Genomic DNA, 19,541 nt, shown 5'->3' on the forward strand with positions numbered 1-19,541 from the left:
GGTTTGTCAAAGATCAGATGGTTGTAGATATGCGGTGTTATTTCTGAGGGCTCTGTTCTGTTCCATTGATCTATATCTCTGTTTTGGTACCAGTACCATGCTGTTTTGGTGACTGTAGCCTTGTAGTATAGTTTGAAGTCAGGTAGCGTGATGCCTCCAGCTTTGTTCTTTTGGCTTAGGATTGACTTGGCGATGTGGGCTCTTTTTTGGTTCCATATGAACTTTAAAGTAGTTTTTTCCAATTCTGTGAAGAAAGTCATTGGTAGCTTGATGGGGATGGCATTGAATCTATAAATTACCTTGGGCAGTATGGCCATTTTCATGATATTGATTCTTCCTACCCATGAGCATGGAATGTTCTTCCATTTGTTTGTATCCTCTTTTATTTCCTTGAGCAGTGGTTTGTAGTTCTCCTTGAAGAGGTCCTTCACGTCCCTTGTAAGTTGGATTCCTAGGTATTTTATTCTCTTTGAAGCAATTGTGAATGGGAGTTCACTCATGATTTGGCTCTCTGTTTGTCTGTCGTTGGTGTATAAGAATGCTTGTGATTTTTGTACATTGATTTTGTATCCTGAGACTTTGCTGAAGTTGCTTATCAGCTTAAGGAGATTTTGGGCTGAGACAATGGGGTTTTCTAGATATACAATCATGTCGTCTGCAAACAGGGACAATTTGACTTCCTCTTTTCCTAATTGAATACCCTTTATTTCCTTCTCCTGCCTAATTGCCCTGGCCAGAACTTCCAACACTATGTTGAATAGGAGTGGTGAGAGAGGACATCCCTGTCTTGTGCCAGTTTTCAAAGGGAATGCTTCCAGTTTTTGCCCATTCAGTATGATATTGGCTGTGGGTTTGTCATAGATAGCTCTTATTATTTTGAAATACGTCCCATCAATACCTAATTTATTGAGAGTTTTTAGCATGAAGGGTTGTTGAATTTTGTCAAAGGCTTTTTCTGCATCTATTGAGATAATCATGTGGTTTTTGTCTTTGGCTCTGTTTATATGCTGGATTACATTTATTGTTTTGCATATATTGAACCAGTCTTGCATCCCAGGGATGAAGCCCACTTGATCATGGTGGATAAGCTTTTTGATGTGCTGCTGGATTCGGTTTGCCAGTATTTTATTGAGGATTTTTGCATCAATGTTCATCAAGGATATTGGTCTAAAAGTCTCTTTTTTGGTTGTGTCTCTGCCCGGCTTTGTTATCAGAATGATGCTGGCCCCATAAAATGAGTTAGGAAGGATTCTCTCTTTTTCTATTGATTGGAATAGTTTCAGAAGGAGTGGTACCAGCTCCTCCTTATACCTCTGGTAGAATTCGGCTGTGAATCCATCTGGTCCTGGACTCTTTTTGGTTAGTAAGCTATTGATTGTTGCCACAATTTCAGATCCTGTTATTGGTCTATTCAGAGATTCAACTTCTTCCTGGTTTAGTGTTGGGAGAGTGTATGTGTCGAGGAATTTATCCATTTCTTCTAGATTTTCTAGTTTATTTGCGTAGAGGTGTTTGTAGTATTCTCTGATGGTTCTTTGTGTATTCTCTGTAGTATTCTTTGTGTTTCTGTGGGATTGGTGGTGATATCCCCTTTATCATTTTTTATTGCGTCTATTTGATTCTTCTCTCTTTTTTTCTTTATTAGTCTTGCTAGCGGTCTATCAATTTTGTTGATCGTTTCAAAAAACCAGCTTCTGGATTCATTAATTTCTTGAAGGGTTTTTTGTGTCTCTATTTCCTTCAGTTCTGCTCTGATTTTAGTTATTTCTTGCCTTCTGCTAGCTTTTGAATGTGTTTGCTCTTGCTTTTCTAGTTCTTTTAATTGTGATGTTAGGGTGTCAATTTTGGATCTTTCCTGCTTTCTCTTGTGGGCATTTAGTGCTATAAATTTCCCTCTACACACTGCTTTGAATGCGTCCCAGAGATTCTGGTATGTTGTGTCTTTGTTCTCGTTGGTTTCAAAGAACATCTTTATTTCTGCCTTCATTTCGTTATGTACCCAGTAGTCATTCAGGAGCAGGTTGTTCAGTTTCCATGTAGTTGAGGAGTTTTGAGTGAGATTCTTAATCCTGAGTTCTAGTTTGATTGCACTGTGGTCTGAGAGATAGTTTGTTGTAATCTCTGTTCTTTTACATTTTCTGAGGAGAGCTTTACTTCCAAGTATGTGGTCAATTTTGGAATAGGTGTGGTGCGGTGCTGAAAAAAATGTATATTCTGTTGATTTGGGGTGGAGAGTTCTGTAGATGTCTATTAGGTCCGCTTGGTGCAGAGCTGAGTTCAATTCCTGGGTATCTTTGTTGACTTTCTGTCTTGTTGATCTGTCTAATGTTGACAGTGGGGTGTTAAAGTCTCCCATTATTAATGTGTGGGAGTCTAAGTCTCTTTGTAGGTCACTCAGGACTTGCTTTATGAATCTGGGTGCTCCTGTATTGGGTGTATATATATTTAGGATAGTTAGGTCTTCTTGTTGAATTGATCCCTTTACCATTATCTAATGGCCTTCTTTGTCTCTTTTGATCTTTGTTGGTTTAAAGTCTGTTTTATCAGAGACTAGGATTGCAACCCCTGCCTTTTTTTTGTTTTCCATTTGCTTGGTAGGTCTTCCTCCATCCTTTTATTTTGAGCCTATGTGTGTCTCTGCATGTGTCTTTATCCAATTTGCCAGTCTGTGTCTTTTAATTGGAGCATTTAGTCCATTTACATTTAAAGTTAATATTGTTATGTGTGAATTTGAACCTGTCATTATGATGTTAGCTGGTTATTTTGCTCGTTAGTTGATGCAGTTTCTTCCTAGTCTCGATGGTCTTTACATTTTGGCATGATTTTGGAGCGGCTGGTACCGGTTGTTCCTTTCCATGTTTAGTGCTTCCTTCAGGAGCTCTTGTACGGCAGGCCTGGTGGTGACAAAATCTCTCAGCATTTGCTTCTCTGTAAAGGATTTTATTTCTCTTTCACTTATGAAGCTTCGTTTGGCTGGATATGAAATTCTGGGTTGAAAATTCTTTAAGAATGTTGAATACTGGCCCCCAGTCTCTTCCGGCTTGTAGAGTTTCTCCCAAGAGATCCGCTGTTAGTCTGGTGGGCTTCCCTTTGTGGGTAACCCGACCTTTCTCTCTGGCTGCCCTTAACATTTTTTCCTTCATTTCAACTTTGGTGAATCTGACAATTATGTGTCTTGGAATTGCTCTTCTCAAGGAGTATCTTTGTGGCGTTCTCTGTATTTCCTGAATCTGAATGTTGGCCTGCCTTGCTAGATTGGGGAAGTTCTCCTGGATGATATCCTGCAGAGTGTTTTCCAACTTGGTTCCATTCTCCCCATCACTTTCAGGTACACCAATCAGACGTAGATTTGTTCTTTTCACATAGTCCCATATTTCTTGGAAGCTTTGTTCATTTCTTTTTATTCTTTTTTCTCTAAACTTCCCTTCTTGCTTCATTTCATTCATTTCATCTTCCATCGCTGATACCCTTTCTTCCAGTTGATCACATCAGCTCCTGAGGCTTCTGCATGCTTCACGTAGTTCTCGAGCCTTGGCTTTCAGCTCCATCAGCTCCTTTAAGCACTTCTCTGTATTGGTTATTCTAGTTATACATTCGTCTAAATTTTTTTCAAAGTTTTTAACTTCTTTGCCTTTGGTTTGAATATCCTCCTGTAGCTTGTAGTTTGATCGTCTGAAACCTTCTTCTCTCAACTCGTCAAAGTCATTCTCCGTCCAGCTTTGTTCCATTGCTGGTGAGGAACTGCGATCCTTTGGAGGAGGAGAGGTGCTCTGCTTTTTAGAGTTTCCAGTTTTTCTGCTCTGCTTTTTCCCCATCTTTGTGATTTTATCTCCTTTTGGTCTTTGATGATGGTGATGTACGGATGGGTTTTTGGTGTGGATGTCCTTTCTGTTTGTTAGTTTTCCTTCTAACAGACAGGACCCTCAGCTGCAGGTCTGTTGGAGTTTGCTAGAGGTCCACTCCAGACCCTGTTTGCCTGGGTATCAGCAGCGTTGTCTCCAGAACAGTGGTTTTTCGTGAACCGCGAATGCTGCCGTCTGATCGTTCCTCTGGAAGTTTTGTCTCAGAGGAGTACCCGGCCGTGTGAGGTGTCAGTCTCCCCCTACTTGGGGGTGCCTCCCAGTTAGGCTGCTCAGGGGTCAGGGGTCAGGGACCAACTTGAGGAGGCAGTCTGCCCGTTCTCAGATCTCCAGCTGCGTGCTGGGAGAACCACTGCTCTCTTCAAAGCTGTCAGACAGGGACATTTAAGTCTGCAGAGGTTACTGCTGTCTTTTTGTTTGTCTGTGCCCTGCCCCCAGAGGTGGAGCCTACAGAGGCAGGCAGGCCTCCTTGAGCTGTGGTGGGCTTCACCCAGTTGGAGCTTCCCGGCTGCTTTGTTTACCTAAGCAAGCCTGGGCAATGGCGGGCGCCCCTCCTGCAGCCTCGCTGCCGCCTTGCAGTTTGATCTCAGACTGCTGTGCTAGCAATCAGCAAGACTCCATGGGCGTAGGACCCTCCAAGCCAGGTGCAGGATATAATCTCCTGGTGCGCCCTTTTTTAAGCCCGTCGGAAAAGCGCAGTATTAGGGTGGGAGTGATCCGATTTTCCAGGTGCCGTCTGTCACCCCTTTCTTTGACTAGGAAAGGGAACTCCCTGACCCCTTGCGCTTCCGGAGTGAGGCAATGCCTCGCCCTGCTTCGGCTCGCGCATGGTGCGCTGCACCCACTGACCTGCGCCCACTGTCTGGCACTCCCCAGTGAGATGAACCCGGTACCTCAGATGGAAATGCAGAAATCACCCGTCTTCTGCGTCGCTCACGCTGGGAGCTGTAGACCGGAGCTGTTCCTATTCGGCCATCTTGGCTCCTCCCCCCGAAAAGCTGAAAATTCTAAAAGTCAGAGTGCCTCTTCTCCTCCAAAGGAATGCAGCTCCTCGCCAGCAACAGAGCAAAGCTGGACAGAGAATGACTTTGACGAGTTGAGAGAACAAGACTTCAGACAATCAAACTTCTTCTAGCTAAAGGAGCATGTTTGAACCCATCGCAAAGAAGCTAAAAACCTTGAGAAAAGATTAGACGAATGGCTAACTACAATAACCAATGAAGAGAAGTCCTTAAATGACCTGATGGAGCTGAAAACCATGACACGAGAACTACGTGATGCATGCACAAGCTTCAGTAGCCGATTCGATCAACTGGAAGAAAGGGTATCAGTGATTGAAGATCAAATGAATGAAATGAAGCAAGAAGAGAAGTTTGGAGAAAAAAGAGTAAAAAGAAACGAACAAAGCCTCCAAGAAATATGGGACTATGTGAAAAGACCAAATCTGCGTCTCATTGGTGTACCTGAAAGTGATGGGGAGAATGGAACCAAGTTGGAAAACACTCTTCAGGATATCATCCAGTAGAACTTTCCCAACCTAGCAAGGAAGGCCAACATTCAAATTCGGGAAGTATAGAGAATGCCACAAAGATACTCCTTGAGAAGAGCAACTCTGAGACACATAATTGTCAGATTCAACAAAGTTGAAATGAAGGAAAAAATGTTAAGGGCAGCCAGAGAGAAAGGTTGGGTTACCCACAAAGGGAAGCCCATCAGACTAACAGCTAATCTCTTGGCAGAAACTCTATAAGCCAGAAGAGAGTGGGGGCCAGTATTCAACATTCTTAAAGAAAAGAATTTTCAACACAGAATTTCATATCCAGCCAAACGAAGCTTCATAAGCGAAGGAGAAATAAAATCCTTTACAGAGAAGCAAATGCTGAGAGATTTTGTCACCACCAGGCCTGCCCTACAAGAGCTCCTGAAGGAAGCACTAAACATGGAAAGGAAGAACCGTTAGCAGCCACTGCAAAACCATGCCAAATTGTAAAGACCATTGAGACTAGGAAGAAACTGCATCAACTAATGAGCAAACTAACCAGCTAACATCATAATGACAGGATCAAATTCACACATAACAATATTAACCTTAAATGTAGATGTGCCCAATGCTCCAATTAAAAGACACAGACTGGCAAATTGAATAAAGAGTCAAGACCCATCAGTGTGCTGTATTCAGGAGACCCATCTCACATGCAGAGGCACACATAGGCTCAAAATAAAGGGATGGAGGAAGATCTACCAAGCAAATGGAAAACAAAAAAAGGCAGGGGTTGCAATCCTAGTCTCTGATAAAACAGACTTTAAAGCAACAAAGATAAAAATAGACAAAGAAGGCCATTACATAATGGTAAAGGGATTAATTCAACAAGAAGACCTAACTATCCTAAATATATATGCACCCAATACAGGAGCCCCCAGATTCATAAAGCAAGTCCTTAGAGACCTGCAAAGAGACTTAGACTCCCACACAATAATAATGGGAGACTTTAACACCCCACTGTCACCATTAGACAGATCAATGAGATAGAAAGTCAACAAAGATATCCAGGAATTGAACTCAGCTCTGTACCAAGCGGACCTACTAGACATCTACAGAACTCTCCACCCCAAATGAACAGAATATACATTCTTCTCAGCACCACACCATACTTATTCCAAAACTGACCACATAGTTGGAAGTAAAGCACTCCTCAGCAAATGTAAAAACAGAAATTATAACAAACTGTTTCTCAGACCACAGTGCAATCAAACTAGAACTCAGGATTAAGAAACTCACTCAAAACCGCTCAACTACATGGAAACTGAACAACCTGCTATTGAATGACTACTGGGGTACATAATGAAATGAAGGCAGAAATAAAGGTGCTCTTTGAAACCAATGAGAACAAAGACACAACATACCAGAATCTCTGGGATACATTTAAAGCAGTGTGTAGAGGGAAATTTATAGCACTAAATGCCCGCAAGAGAAAGCAGGAAAGATCTAAAATTGACACCCTAACATCACAATTAAAAGAACTACAGAAGCAAGAGCAACCACATTCAAAAGCTAGCCAGCGGAAGGCAAGAAATAACTAAGATCAGAGCAGAACTGAAGGAGATAGAGACACAAAAAGCCCTTCAAAAAATCAATGAATCTAGGAGCTGGGCAATAAAAAATGATAAAGGGGTTATCACCACCGATCCCACAGAAATACAAACTAACCTCAGAAAATACTATAAACACCTCTATGCAAATAAACTAGAAAATCTAGAAGAAATGGATAAATTCCTGGACACATACACCCTCCCAAGACTAAAACAGGAAGAAGTTGAATCCCTGAATAGACCAATAACAGGCTCTGAAATTGAGGCAATAATTAATAGCCTACCAACCAAAAAAAGTCCAGGACCAGACGGATTCACAGCCAAATTCTAAAGTCCAGGACCAGATGGATTCACAGCCAAATTCTACCAGAGGTACAAGGGGGAGCTGGTACCATTCCTTCTGAAACTATTCCAATTGATAGAAAAAGAGGGAATCCTCCCTAACTCATTTTATGAGGCCAGCATCATCCTGATACCAAAGCCGGGCAGAGACACAACCAAAAAAGAGAATTTTAGACCAATATCCCTGATGAACATTGATGCAAAAATCCTCAATAAAATACTGGCAAACCGAATCCAGCAGCACATCAAAAAGCTTATCCACCATGATCAAGTGGGCTTCATCCCTGGGATGCAAGGCTGGTTCAATATACAGAAATCAATAAATGTAATCCAGCATATAAACAGAACCAAAGACAAAAACCACATGATTATCTCAATAGATGCAGAAAAGGCCTTTGACAAAATTCAACAGCACTTCATGCTAAAAACTCTCAATAAATTAGTTATTGATGGGACGTATCTCAAAATAATAAGAGCTGTTTATGACAAACCCACAGCCAATATCATACTGAATGGGCAAAAACTGGAAGCATTCCCTTTGAAAACTGGCACAAGACAGGGATGCCCTCTCTCACCACTCCTATTCAACATAGTGTTGGAAGTTCTGGCCAGGGCAATTAGGCAGGAGAAGGAAATAAAGGGTATTCAATTAGGAAAAGAGGAAGTCAAATTGTCCCTGTTTGCAGATGACATGATTGTATATTTAGAAAACCCCATCGTCTCAGCCCAAAATCTCCTTAAGCTGATAAGCAACTTCAGCAAAGTCTCAGGATACAAAATCAATGTGCAAAAAATCACAAGCATTCTTATGCACCAATAACAGACAGAGAGCCAAATCATGAGTGAACTCCCATTCACAATTGCTTCAAAGAGAATAAAATACCTAGGAATCCAACTTACAAGGGATGTGAAGGACCTCTTCAAGGAGAACTACAAACCACTGCTCAACGAAATAAAAGAGGACACAAACAAATGGAAGAACATTCCATGCTCATGGATAGGAGGAATCAATATCGTGAAAATGGCCATACTGCCCAAGGTAATTTATAGATTCAATGCCATCTCCATGAAGCTACCAATGACTTTCTTCTCAGAATTGGAAAAAAACTACTTTAAAGTTCATATGGAAGCAGAAAAGAGCCTGCATTGCCAAGACAGTCCTAAGCAAAAAGAACAAAGCTGGAGGCATCATGCTACCTGACTTCAAGCTATACTACAAGGCTACAGTAAACAAAACAGGATGGTACTGGTACCAAAACAGAGATATAGAGCAATGGAACAGAACAGAGCCCTCAGAAATAATACCACACATCTACAACCATCTGATCTTTGACAAACCTGACAAAAACAAGCAATGGGGAAAGGATTCCCTATTTAATAAATGGTGCTGGGAAAACTGACCAGCCAAATGTAGAAAGCTGAAACTGGATCCCTTCCTTATACCTTATACAAAAATTAATTCAAGATGGATTAAAGACTTAAATGTTAGATCTAAAAGCATAAAAACCCTAGAAGAAAACCTAGGCAATACCATACAGGACATAGGCATAGGCAAAGACTTCATGTCTAAAACACCAAAAGCAATGGCAGCAAAAGCCAAAATTGACAAACGGGATCTAATTAAAGAGCTTCTGCACAGCAAAAGAAACTACCATCAGAGTGAACAGGCAACCTACAGAATGGGAGAAAATTTTTGCAATCTGCCCATCTGACAAAGGGCTAATATCCAGAATCTACAAAGAACTTAAACAAATTTACAAGAAAAAATCAACCCTATCAAAAAGTGGGCGAAATATATGAACAGATACTTCTCAAAAGAAGACATTTATGCAGCCAACAGACACATGAAAAAATGCTCATCATCACTGGCTATCGGAGAAATGCATATCAAAACCACAATGAGATACCATATCACACCAGTTAGAATGGCAATCATTAAAAAGTCAGGAAACGACAGGTGCTTGAGAGGATGTGAAGAAATAGGAACACTTTTACACTGTTGGTGGGACTGTAAACTAGTTCAACCATTGTGGAAGACAGTGTGGCGATTCCTCAAGGATCTAGAACTAGAAATACCATTTGACCCAGCCATCCCATTACTGGGTATATACCCAAAGGATTATAAATCATGCTGCTGTAAAGACACATGCACACGTATGTTTATTGTGGTACTATTCACAATAGCAAAGACTTGGAACCAACCCAAATATCCATCAATGATACACTGGATTAAGAAAATGTGGCACATATACACCATGGAATACTATGCAGCCATAAAAAATGATGAGTTCATGTCCTTTGTAGGGACATGGATGAAGCTGGAAATCATCATTCTCAGTAAACTATCGCAAGGACAGAAAACCAAACACTGCATGTTCTCACTCATAGGTGGGAATTGAACAATGAGAACACTTGGACACAGGAAGGGCAACATCAACACACCGGGGCCTGTAGTGGGGTGGGTGGCTACGGGAGGGATAGCATTAGGAGATATATCTAATGTAAATGACGACTTAATGGTTGCAGCACACCAACATCGCACATGTACACATATGTAACAAACCTGCATGTTGTGCACATGTACCCTAGAACTTAAAATATAATAATTTTTTAAAAAGTTAAAAATAAATAAAAATAAAATGTAAGCAAACACTTAAAAAAATAAAATAAATTGAAAGAATAAAAAAAGAAAAAAAAAATCCTAAGGAATCGACAAAAAAAAGTTTACTCAAACTAGTGAACTTAGCAAGGTTGCAGGATACAGTATCAATATACATAAATCAAGTATATTTATATTAGCAATGGACAATTGGAAAATGAAATAAAAATACATTTCTATTTTCAATATCATTAAATTCTTGAGGATAGAGAGAGAGGTTTGCATAGGTTCAGTGGAGACATGATAGAGGAAGGGGTTAGTTTAACCAGCGGGGAGAAGTGATCTGGAAGGATCACTTCTGTGGTGTCTGTGCTGTGTCTTGAAAGACAAGAAACTCCAAACAATCAAAGGGATGATAGTCATTCCAGGTAAAATGAAAAAAGCAAACATTCCTAGGCCCTAGGTGATCCACCGCGCCTAGCCGGTGATGGGTTTTAAATAGTCCAGGCACAGTGGCTCGTGCCTGTAATCCCAGCACTTTGGGAGGCCAAAGCCGGGGAATCACCTGAGGTCAGGAGTTCGAGACCAGCCTGGCCAACATGGTGAAACCTCATCTCTACTAAAAATACAGAAATTAGTCTGGTGTGGTGGTGTACATCTGTAATCCCAGCTACTTGGGAGGCTGAGGCAGGAGAATCACGTGAACCCAGGAGGCAGAGTTTGCAGTGAGCCAAGATTGTACCACTGCACTCCAGCCTAGGCTAACAGAGCGAGACTCCATCTCAAGAATGAATGAATGAATAAATAAATAAATAAATAAATAAATAAATAAATGGGAGAGACCTGGTGATGTTGCATTTTAGCAGTTGGCTATGGGAGAGGAGTTGAGTTCAGACCTTTGATGGCCTTTCAGCTATTTATGTTCAGTTCTTGCCATTGAGAGCCAAGCCACCAAAGGTGGTGATACTATATGGCTGCTTCCTAAGAATGAGGCATTAGATTTCACCAAGCAATCCCTATTCCAGGATGCCAACTTCTCACTTGACCCACTCAGAATTCTGTATTCTGCTTTGGTGCTGTTAACAATGGTGACCATCTATTAAGAGAAATAGCATGGTAGCTGTGATAGCAGCAATAGTATTGCTAGCCTCAGGGCCCTAAAGTACCAGTGGCAGTAGTATCCAAGTAAGTGAGAAGACAGAAGGTAGAGCAATATTTTTCCAGGCTCATGGTACAGAGGTTGATTACAATACCTCTGTACTGTATCATTAGGCTTTGTGAATAGCCTGATCAGTTTGCCAAGGAATGGAAGTGGAGATCGGAAGTTTTCATTAATTTACTTACTTAGGGCTCAGACTTACACTATTGGTTTTATTACCCTTGTTATATTATCTTTCATATCTGTTTCTAGGTTGATTACACATTGAATCAAGTTGTACATTCCTAGGCCCTCACAGGGAAAGAAGGAGACAGATCTGTGTTTGAATGTCTGTCTCTGCTACTTAGCTGTATAATCTTAAGGTAGATAACCTAACCCCTCTGAACTCTAGTTTCCCCATCTGTATGATGGATTGATAATGCCTACCTTATCAGGTCATTGTGAAAATTAAAGATATGTGAAAATACTCAACATGTTCTTAGCACATAGATTCTTTCACATTTGCTTCACTTCTTATTTAGTTTTTGTTGTAGGTTATCCTGTGTATTTGACCTTCCAAACAAAGGTTGCTTTTGACTTTATGACTTAAGGTTGGAATATCTCCTACTACTCCCCTGTCCTCCTTGGACCAGAAAAAAAAAAAATCCCACTGTGATCCTAGTCATGCGTATGTGGCATTTGGAGAATTTAAGAAGGTATAGAAATTGACAGCTTTGGCAATACTATTGCTTATGTTACACAAGATGTGTAACTTATCAGTGAGGTGAAATGGTAAAGTAATGCTTATCCTTAAAAGCTAAGACTTAAGTCATCTCAGATAAAGCTAATACTCCCATCTTGACCTCTTTTCTTCACACAATCCTTCAACAGGACTTCATTGACTTAACTAGAGAGACCAGACCAAGGACAAAAGATCGCAGTGGACTGTATGTGATTGACCTGACAAGAGCTGAGGGAGAAAATAGACCTATTGCCACTCTTGACTTAACTTTAGAACCTGTCACTCCTTCCCAGAAGGAGCCAACCAGTCTTCAGACATGTGCCAGCCTCTCTGGCAAAGCGGTGATGGAAGGGCACGTGGACAGAAGCTCTCAGCCTACAGCACGGAGAATCATTAACAGTGATCCTGTAGATTTGGACCTAGTGGAAGAAAACACCTTTGTAGGTCCCCCACCCGCTACATCCATCAGTGGAGGCTCTGTTTATCCAACAGAGCCTAATTGTAGCTCAGCCACATTCACAGGTAACCTCAGCTTCTTGGCAAGTCTACAGCTGTCTTCAGATGTTAGCTCCCTCTCCCCAACAAGCAATAATAGTAGGAGCAGCAGCAGCAGCAGCAATCAAAAAGCACCCTTGCCATGCCCACAGCAAGATGTATCTCGCCCACCACAGGCCTTGCCGTGCCCCCTGCGACCTTTGCCATGCCCACCGAGAGCCTCACCATGTCCACCACGAGCCTCCTCATGCCCACCACGAGCCTTGTCATGCCCATCACAAACCATGCAGTGCCAACTACCAGCTCTAACTCACCCACCTCAAGAAGTGCCATGCCCTCGGCAGAATATCCCAGGCCCACCTCAAGACTCTCTGGGCCTACCTCAAGATGTGCCAGGGCTGCCTCAAAGCATATTACATCCACAAGATGTGGCATACCTGCAAGACATGCCACGGTCACCAGGAGATGTGCCACAGTCACCAAGTGATGTTTCACCGTCACCAGATGCACCACAGTCACCAGGGGGCATGCCACACTTACCGGGAGATGTGTTACATTCACCTGGAGACATGCCACACTCATCAGGGGACGTGACACACTCACCTAGAGACATCCCTCACTTACCAGGAGACAGGCCTGACTTTACCCAGAATGATGTACAGAACCGTGACATGCCTATGGATATCTCAGCTCTGTCCTCTCCAAGCTGCTCTCCCAGCCCACAGTCTGAAACTCCCTTAGAGAAAGTTCCTTGGCTCTCTGTCATGGAAACCCCAGCCAGAAAAGAAATATCACTGTCAGAGCCTGCCAAACCTGGGTCTGCCCACGTACAATCACGAACACCACAAGGTGGGTTGTACAACAGACCATGCCTGCATAGACTGAAGTACTTCTTACGTCCTCCGGTTCATCACCTCTTCTTTCAGACGCTAATACCGGATAAAGACACAAGAGAGGTGAGCTAACATCTTCCCTCAGGGATTAGGTGTCCTTTCCCTAGGCCTAGGAGAAGGTCAGTGTGACTGGAGTCCATGCGTGAGAGGACAGGTCAAGCATAAATGAAATTTCTTATCTTTCCTCCACTTGTGAAGACCCATTCAGTGTAGAGGCCCAGATCTGGGTTCAAATTTTAGCCCCACGCTTAAAAACTGTCACTTTACTTTTTTTTTTTTTTTTTTTTTTGAGACCGAGTCTTGCTCTGTCTCCCAGGCTAGAGTGCAGTGGCACAATCTTGGCTCACTGCAACCTCCGCCTCCCAGGTTCAAGAGTTTCTTCTACCTCAGCCTCCCTAGCAGCTGGGACTACAGGCGCATGCCGCCATGCCCGGCTAATTTTTTTTTTTTTTTTTTTTTTTTGAGATGGAGTCTCGCTCTGTCGCCCAGGCTGGAGTGCAGTGGCACGATCTCCGCTCACTGCAAGCTCCGCCTCCCGGGTTCACGTCATTCGCTTGCCTCAGCCTCCCGAGTAGCTGGGACTATAGGCGCCCGCTACCACGCCCAGCTGATTTTTTGTATTTTTAGTAGAGACGGGGTTTCACAGTGTTAGCCAGAATGGCCTCGATCTCCTGACCTCGTGATCCACCCGCCTCGGCCTCCCAAAGTGCTAGGATTACAGGCGTGAGCCACCGCGCCTGGCACGCCCGGCTAATTTTTTGTATTTTAGTAGAGACAGGGTTTCATTGTGTTAGCCAGGATGGTCTTGATCTCCTGATCTTGTAATCCACCCGCCTCAGCCTCCCAAAGTGCTGGGATTACAGGCATGAGCCACCGCGCCCAGCAGGGCACTTTACCTTTTTAAGCCTTAGCTTTCCTATCTGTAAAATGGAAGTAATAACATACCTCACAGGGTCATACGTGAAAGTGTCAGGGTGTCAGGCTCATCGTAGGCCTTATGTAAATTCTTATCTTCTAGCTGGATGTGGTGGCATGCACCTGTAATCCCAGCTACTCAGGAGGCTGAGGCAGGAGAATCACCTGAATCTGGGAGGCGGAGGTTGCAGTGAGCTGAGACTGCACCACTGCACTCCAGCCTTGGCCACAGAGCAAGACTCTGTCTCAAAAAAATAAATAAATGTTTATCTTCAACTCCTATGCTTTTCCCTTCCTGGTGCCCTTATTACAGCTTCTATATCACAGAGATAATAATACTCTATCACTTATGGGCCTCCAAAATTATTACTTGCTGACTTTGGGGGAGGAAATTCAATATTAAGACATGAGTGGGAATGCTCCTTTCCATTGGTCATCATTGATTTATGAGAAGTAAACTAGATGTGTTAGGGAAAATAACTGGCTAAGTTCCACCGTATGAAGTGTTTTTTAGTTATGTACATCCCATCCCCCATATTAAGAAAACCAGCTTGAAACAGTTCAGTGTCAAAAGGTATGCTCTCCTCATTCAAGCAGTGATCCAGGTAGGCAGGAGCCAAGGATTCACACTGATTTGACCTTGGAGAATGATTTTTTTTCTCTTTTTTAAAATTATTACATCTTCTAATATGTTGTAGGTCTTCTCCTTCTTTATGCCTCTGCCTGACCACTAGCTCATTCTTTTTTTTTTGGGACAGAGTCTCACCCTGTCACCCAGGCTGGAGTACAGTGGTACGATCTCAGCTCACTCACTGCAACCTCCGCCTCCCAGGTTCAAGCGATTCTCCTGCCACAGCCTCCCGCGTAGCTGGGTTACAGGTGCCCGCTACCACTTCCGGCTTTTTGTACTTTTAGTAGAGACAGGGTTTCACCATGTTGTCCAGGCTTGTCTTGAACTCCTGACCTCAAGTGATCCGCCCACCTCGGCCTCCCAAAGTTCTGGGATTACAGGCGTGAGCCACCGCGCCCGGCCCAGACAGCATTTATTATTGTGAATAATTTGATGTCTTTCCTTCCCAGTTGCCTTTTTATACATAGGCATTTTACATATTTTAATAATTGGGATTTTTAACATATACACATTATTTTTGTTGTTTATGGGGAGTAGGGGTTGAGAGAATGGCTCTGAAGTTTACGCCACGTGTGTTTGAAACCAGCTTCTGCCATTTGTTGTATGACAAATGCTTACCCTCCAAATCTGTTTCTTTATTTATGAGATAGGAATAATAATAGTATGTATTTCCTAAGATTATTGTAAGAACTAGTTGAGGATCAATTAAGTGTTCAGTGCTGGGCGCAGTGGCTCACGCCTGTAACCCCAGCATTTTGGGAGGCCGTGGTCGGTGGATTGCTTGAGCCCAGGAGTTTGAGACCAGCCTGGGCAACATAGTGAAACCCCCTCTATAAAAAATTCAAAAATTAGCTGAATATGGTGGCACACACCTATATCCTAGCTACTCTGGAGGCTGAGGCAGGAGAATGGCATGAACCCGGGAGGCGGAACTTGCAGTGTGCCAGGATCACGCCACAGTGCTCCAGCGTGGGCGACACAGCGAGACCCCATCTCAAAAAAAAAAAAAATTAATTGTTTAAGGCCAGACATGATGGCTCACACCTATAATCCCAGCACTTTGGGAAGCCAAGACAGTCTTGATCACTTGAGTTCACAAGTTCGAGACCAGCCTGGGCAACATGGTGAAACCCCATCTCTACTAAAAATACTAAAAAAAATTAGCCAGGCATGGTGGCACACACCTGTAGTCCCAGCTACTTGGGAGGCTGAGGTGGGAGGATGGCTTGAGCCTGGGAGGCAGAGGTTGCAGTGAGCCATGATCATGCCACTGTGTTCCAGCCTGGGTGACAGAGCCAGACTTCATCTCAAAAAAAAAAAAAAAATTAAGAGCTCCAAATTTATTGTTATTAAACCCTCATATCAAACTTTAAAATTGTTTAATTCTAATTATAAAAGTAATAAGTGTGTTATGGAAAAATTGAAAAATATAGAAGAGCACATAGAGAAAAAATCACCACTAATTCTACCACCCACATAATAGAAAATCACTTTTCACATATTCTCTCGCAGTCTTTATATACATATTTTTTGGGGGAAGAAGCAACTTAATATTTACTGTTCGCACAAAAAAAAAATGGAATTCTTCTCCTAACAACAAAATGAATTTAAAACTTCTTTCTTATCTATTTCGGTATCTGATATAGTATCACAGCTATCCCTAAGTCTCTAGTTACCCTCACCCCAAAATCAACCTAGGCTACCTGTTGACCCTTTTGTATTTTTCTGTCTATGCTATATTTTAACATAGATGAAATCATGTTATATGTACAATTTTGAATTCTGATTTTTTAACTTTATATGAGCTTTTTCCCATGTCATTAAAAGTTTTTTAGATAAAGCTCTTTTTTGTCTGTTTTGATTTGGAGTCTCGCTCTGTCACCTAGGCTGGAGTGCAGTGGCGCCATCTTGGTTCACTGCAGCCTCCACCTTCCGGGTTTAAGCAATTCTCATGTCTCAGCCTTCAAGTAGCTGGGACTACAGTTGCGTGCCACCACGTCTGGCTAATTTTTATATTTTTAGTAGAGACGGGGTTTCACCATGTTGGCCAGACTGCTCTCGAACTCCTGACCTCAAGCAGTTCTCCTGCCTTGGCCTCCCAAAGTGCTGGGATTACAGGCATGAGCCACTGCACCCGTCCTCTTTTTTTTTTTTTAATCATGAAATATTTCAAATGCCTGGAAAACTTTGCTATCTTCAACGTATTCTAGAACCTCTTATTTTTGTATACTATAGAAATCCCGGCTCGGCGCCGTGGCTCACACCTGTAATCCCAGCACTTTGGGAGGCTGAGACAGGCAAATCACGAGGTCAGGAGATTGAGACCATCCTGGCTAACACCGTGAAACCCTGTCTTTACTAAAAATACAAAAGAAAATTAGCCGGGCGTGGTGGTGGGCGCCTGTAGTCCCAGCTACTCTGGAGGCTGAGGCAGGAGAATGGCATGAACTCGGGAGGCAGAGCTTGCAGTGAGCTGAGATCACGCCACTGCACTCCAGCCTGGGGAACAGAGCAAGACTCCGTCTCAAAAAAAAAAAAAAAAAAAAAAGAAAAGAAATCCCTCCTAATTTCCTTCTTTTTAATCTCTACAGAACAAGGGTCAAAAATTAGAACCCATCCCTCATCGAAGACTAAGAATGGTAACAAATACCATTGAAGAGAATTTTCCTCTGGGGACTGTGCAGTTTTTGATGGACTTTGTGTCACCCCAGCATTACCCACCAAGAGAAATCGTGGCTCACATCATCCAGAAAATCTTGCTCAGTGGCTCTGAGACTGTGGATGTCCTAAAGGAGGCCTACATGCTTCTCATGAAAATTCAACAGTATGAACCGTAACCTCTGGCTGTTGGCGAATCTTCTAGGGATCTTGGACTCAGGGCATAGCTTTCTCTTGACAGGCTTTTTTAACCTAACCGTTACAGTGGGTGACTTAGCATATTAGTGTTATTTGAATTGCAAATGATAGGAAACCCAGTCCAAACAGACCTTAACTACTGCTAAAAGAGAATTTAATGGCTCGTGTTACTAGAAACCGAGGAGTGAGATGTGACTTGATTCAGTATACAAAAATGGTTACCAGGGTTCATTCTGCAGCTCTACTTCGGTTCTGTTTGGGGCTGCATGTGGTAGCCTCTCAGCCTCAGTTCTGTTTTGGGGCCGCATGTGGTAGCCTCTCAGCCTCAGTTCTGTTTTGGGGCCGCATGTGGTAGCCTCTCAGCCTCAGTTCTGTTTGGGGCCGCATGTGGTAGCCTCTCAGCCTCAGTTCTGTTTTGGGGCTGCATGTGGTAGCCTCTCAGCCTCAGTTCTGTTTTGGGGCTGCATGTGGTAGCCTCTCAGCCTCAGGCTTTTATGACACTTCCAGTGGGAAAGAGTGTCTGCTTCCTTTATAGTCACCCAAGAGTTCTGAAATTGAGTCTTGCAGGATTTAATTGGCCTAATGAGAGACATGACCATATCTTTGAGCCAATCACCGTGAACTGAGGGGTAGAACAGCACGATTGGCTAAAAAAGCCACATACTTCATTTTGGGGTTCTGGTAGGTAAAACTAGTTGGTTAAGAGTAGTGAAGAGTTGGTTTCTTAAGACAAAATTATAGTACTAAAGCTTTCCAAAAGGGGACTGGATACTGGGTAGCAAAAAACAATGAAGTTCCACTACTCTCAGATTGACATGGTATGATACCAGAAAGTGAGCAAGAGCATGGAGGATAATGGAGGATAGGAAGAGGCTTCTTCCTTCTATCACCTTCAGATCCTATCCCTTCTTCCGCTAAATTCTCCATAATTCTAATTGATTTCACTTGACTTTCAGGCTACATCCAGCCAATGCCAAGACAGTGGAGTGGGACTGGAAACTGCTCACCTATGTCATGGAGGAAGAGGTAACAACAATTATAAGATTATATCTTCTGTAGGGGAAGTTTTAACTATAAAGAAAAGTGATATCAGGTGCCATGGCTCACACCTGTAATCCCAGCATTTTGGGAGGCCGAGGCAGGAGGACAGTTTGAGCCCAGGAGTTCAAGGCCAGCCTGGGCAACAAAATGAGACCCTGTCTCTACAAAAATAAAAATAAAATATTTAGCCAGGCATAGTGATGCATGCCTGTGGTCCCAGCTACACAGAAGGCTGAGGCAGGAGGATTGCTTGAGCCTAGGAGGTCAAGGCTATAGTGATCCATGATCACAACATTGTACTCCAGCCTGGGTGACAGAGCAAGACCCTGTCTTAAAAGAAAAAAGAAAAGTGACAGTAAATCTGGTAATAAAGTCTACACCATTATTCCCTCCTGATTCTCCCACCCCTGCCAAAAAATTCCTATTGAAATGGTATGTGCTATCTTCCAATTCAAGATTTAGTATATTTACTTATCCCTCTCCTTGAGATCCCATTAAAAATAATAGTAAATGAATAGAGAAAGTTATAAATTCATGGCTATGAAAAAAGGGGAAGGATAGCAGATTTGAATGAAGATTAGGGAGACCTACAGAGAATGTAAGAGTGATGACTGATGAGCCGGGCAGAGAAAGCCACATATATGTAAAGAGGCTACAGCCAAGGAAGGATGAATCTTCACTTTAGAGCACCAGAGAGGTCTTGGATTTAGAAACACAATATCTAATAGAGGGCAGGAGTCAGATGTGGGCTATTGGATATTTATTGAAAGTTTGTGGATGGAACAGCCAACCTCTTCATTGCTGAGGGCAGAAGGATCAGTAGCCAGGTTACCTACCTTCAGGCAAAAAGTCACAGAATGTATTGTCTAAAAAAGTTGAATGAGGCCAGGCGTGGTGGCTCATGCCTGTAATCCCAGCACTTTGGGAGGCCAAGGCGGG

General features: G+C 42.7%; 1 protein-coding gene across 7 annotated transcripts in view; it reads left to right on the forward strand.

Annotated features, from left to right (window-relative positions):
* Positions 1-19,541, forward strand: part of SIMC1 (SUMO interacting motifs containing 1) — a 107,566-nt gene that overhangs the window by 39,310 nt on the left and 48,715 nt on the right. For 5 of the 7 annotated variants that reach the window (NM_001308196.2, NM_001308195.2, XM_011534556.3 and 2 more), the window contains 3 exons: positions 11,921-13,222; positions 17,297-17,529; positions 18,518-18,587. In NM_001308196.2, the coding sequence (NP_001295125.1) occupies positions 11,921-13,222; positions 17,297-17,529; positions 18,518-18,587 (1,605 nt within the window). The remainder of the gene's footprint in view (positions 1-11,920; positions 13,223-17,296; positions 17,530-18,517; positions 18,588-19,541) is intronic. The other 2 variants (NR_131772.2, NM_198567.6) reach the window with 1 other exon arrangement.

This window comes from Homo sapiens, chromosome 5, assembly GCF_000001405.40.
Source record: "Homo sapiens chromosome 5, GRCh38.p14 Primary Assembly".
In the NCBI taxonomy this organism is placed as follows: Eukaryota; Metazoa; Chordata; class Mammalia; order Primates; family Hominidae; genus Homo; species Homo sapiens.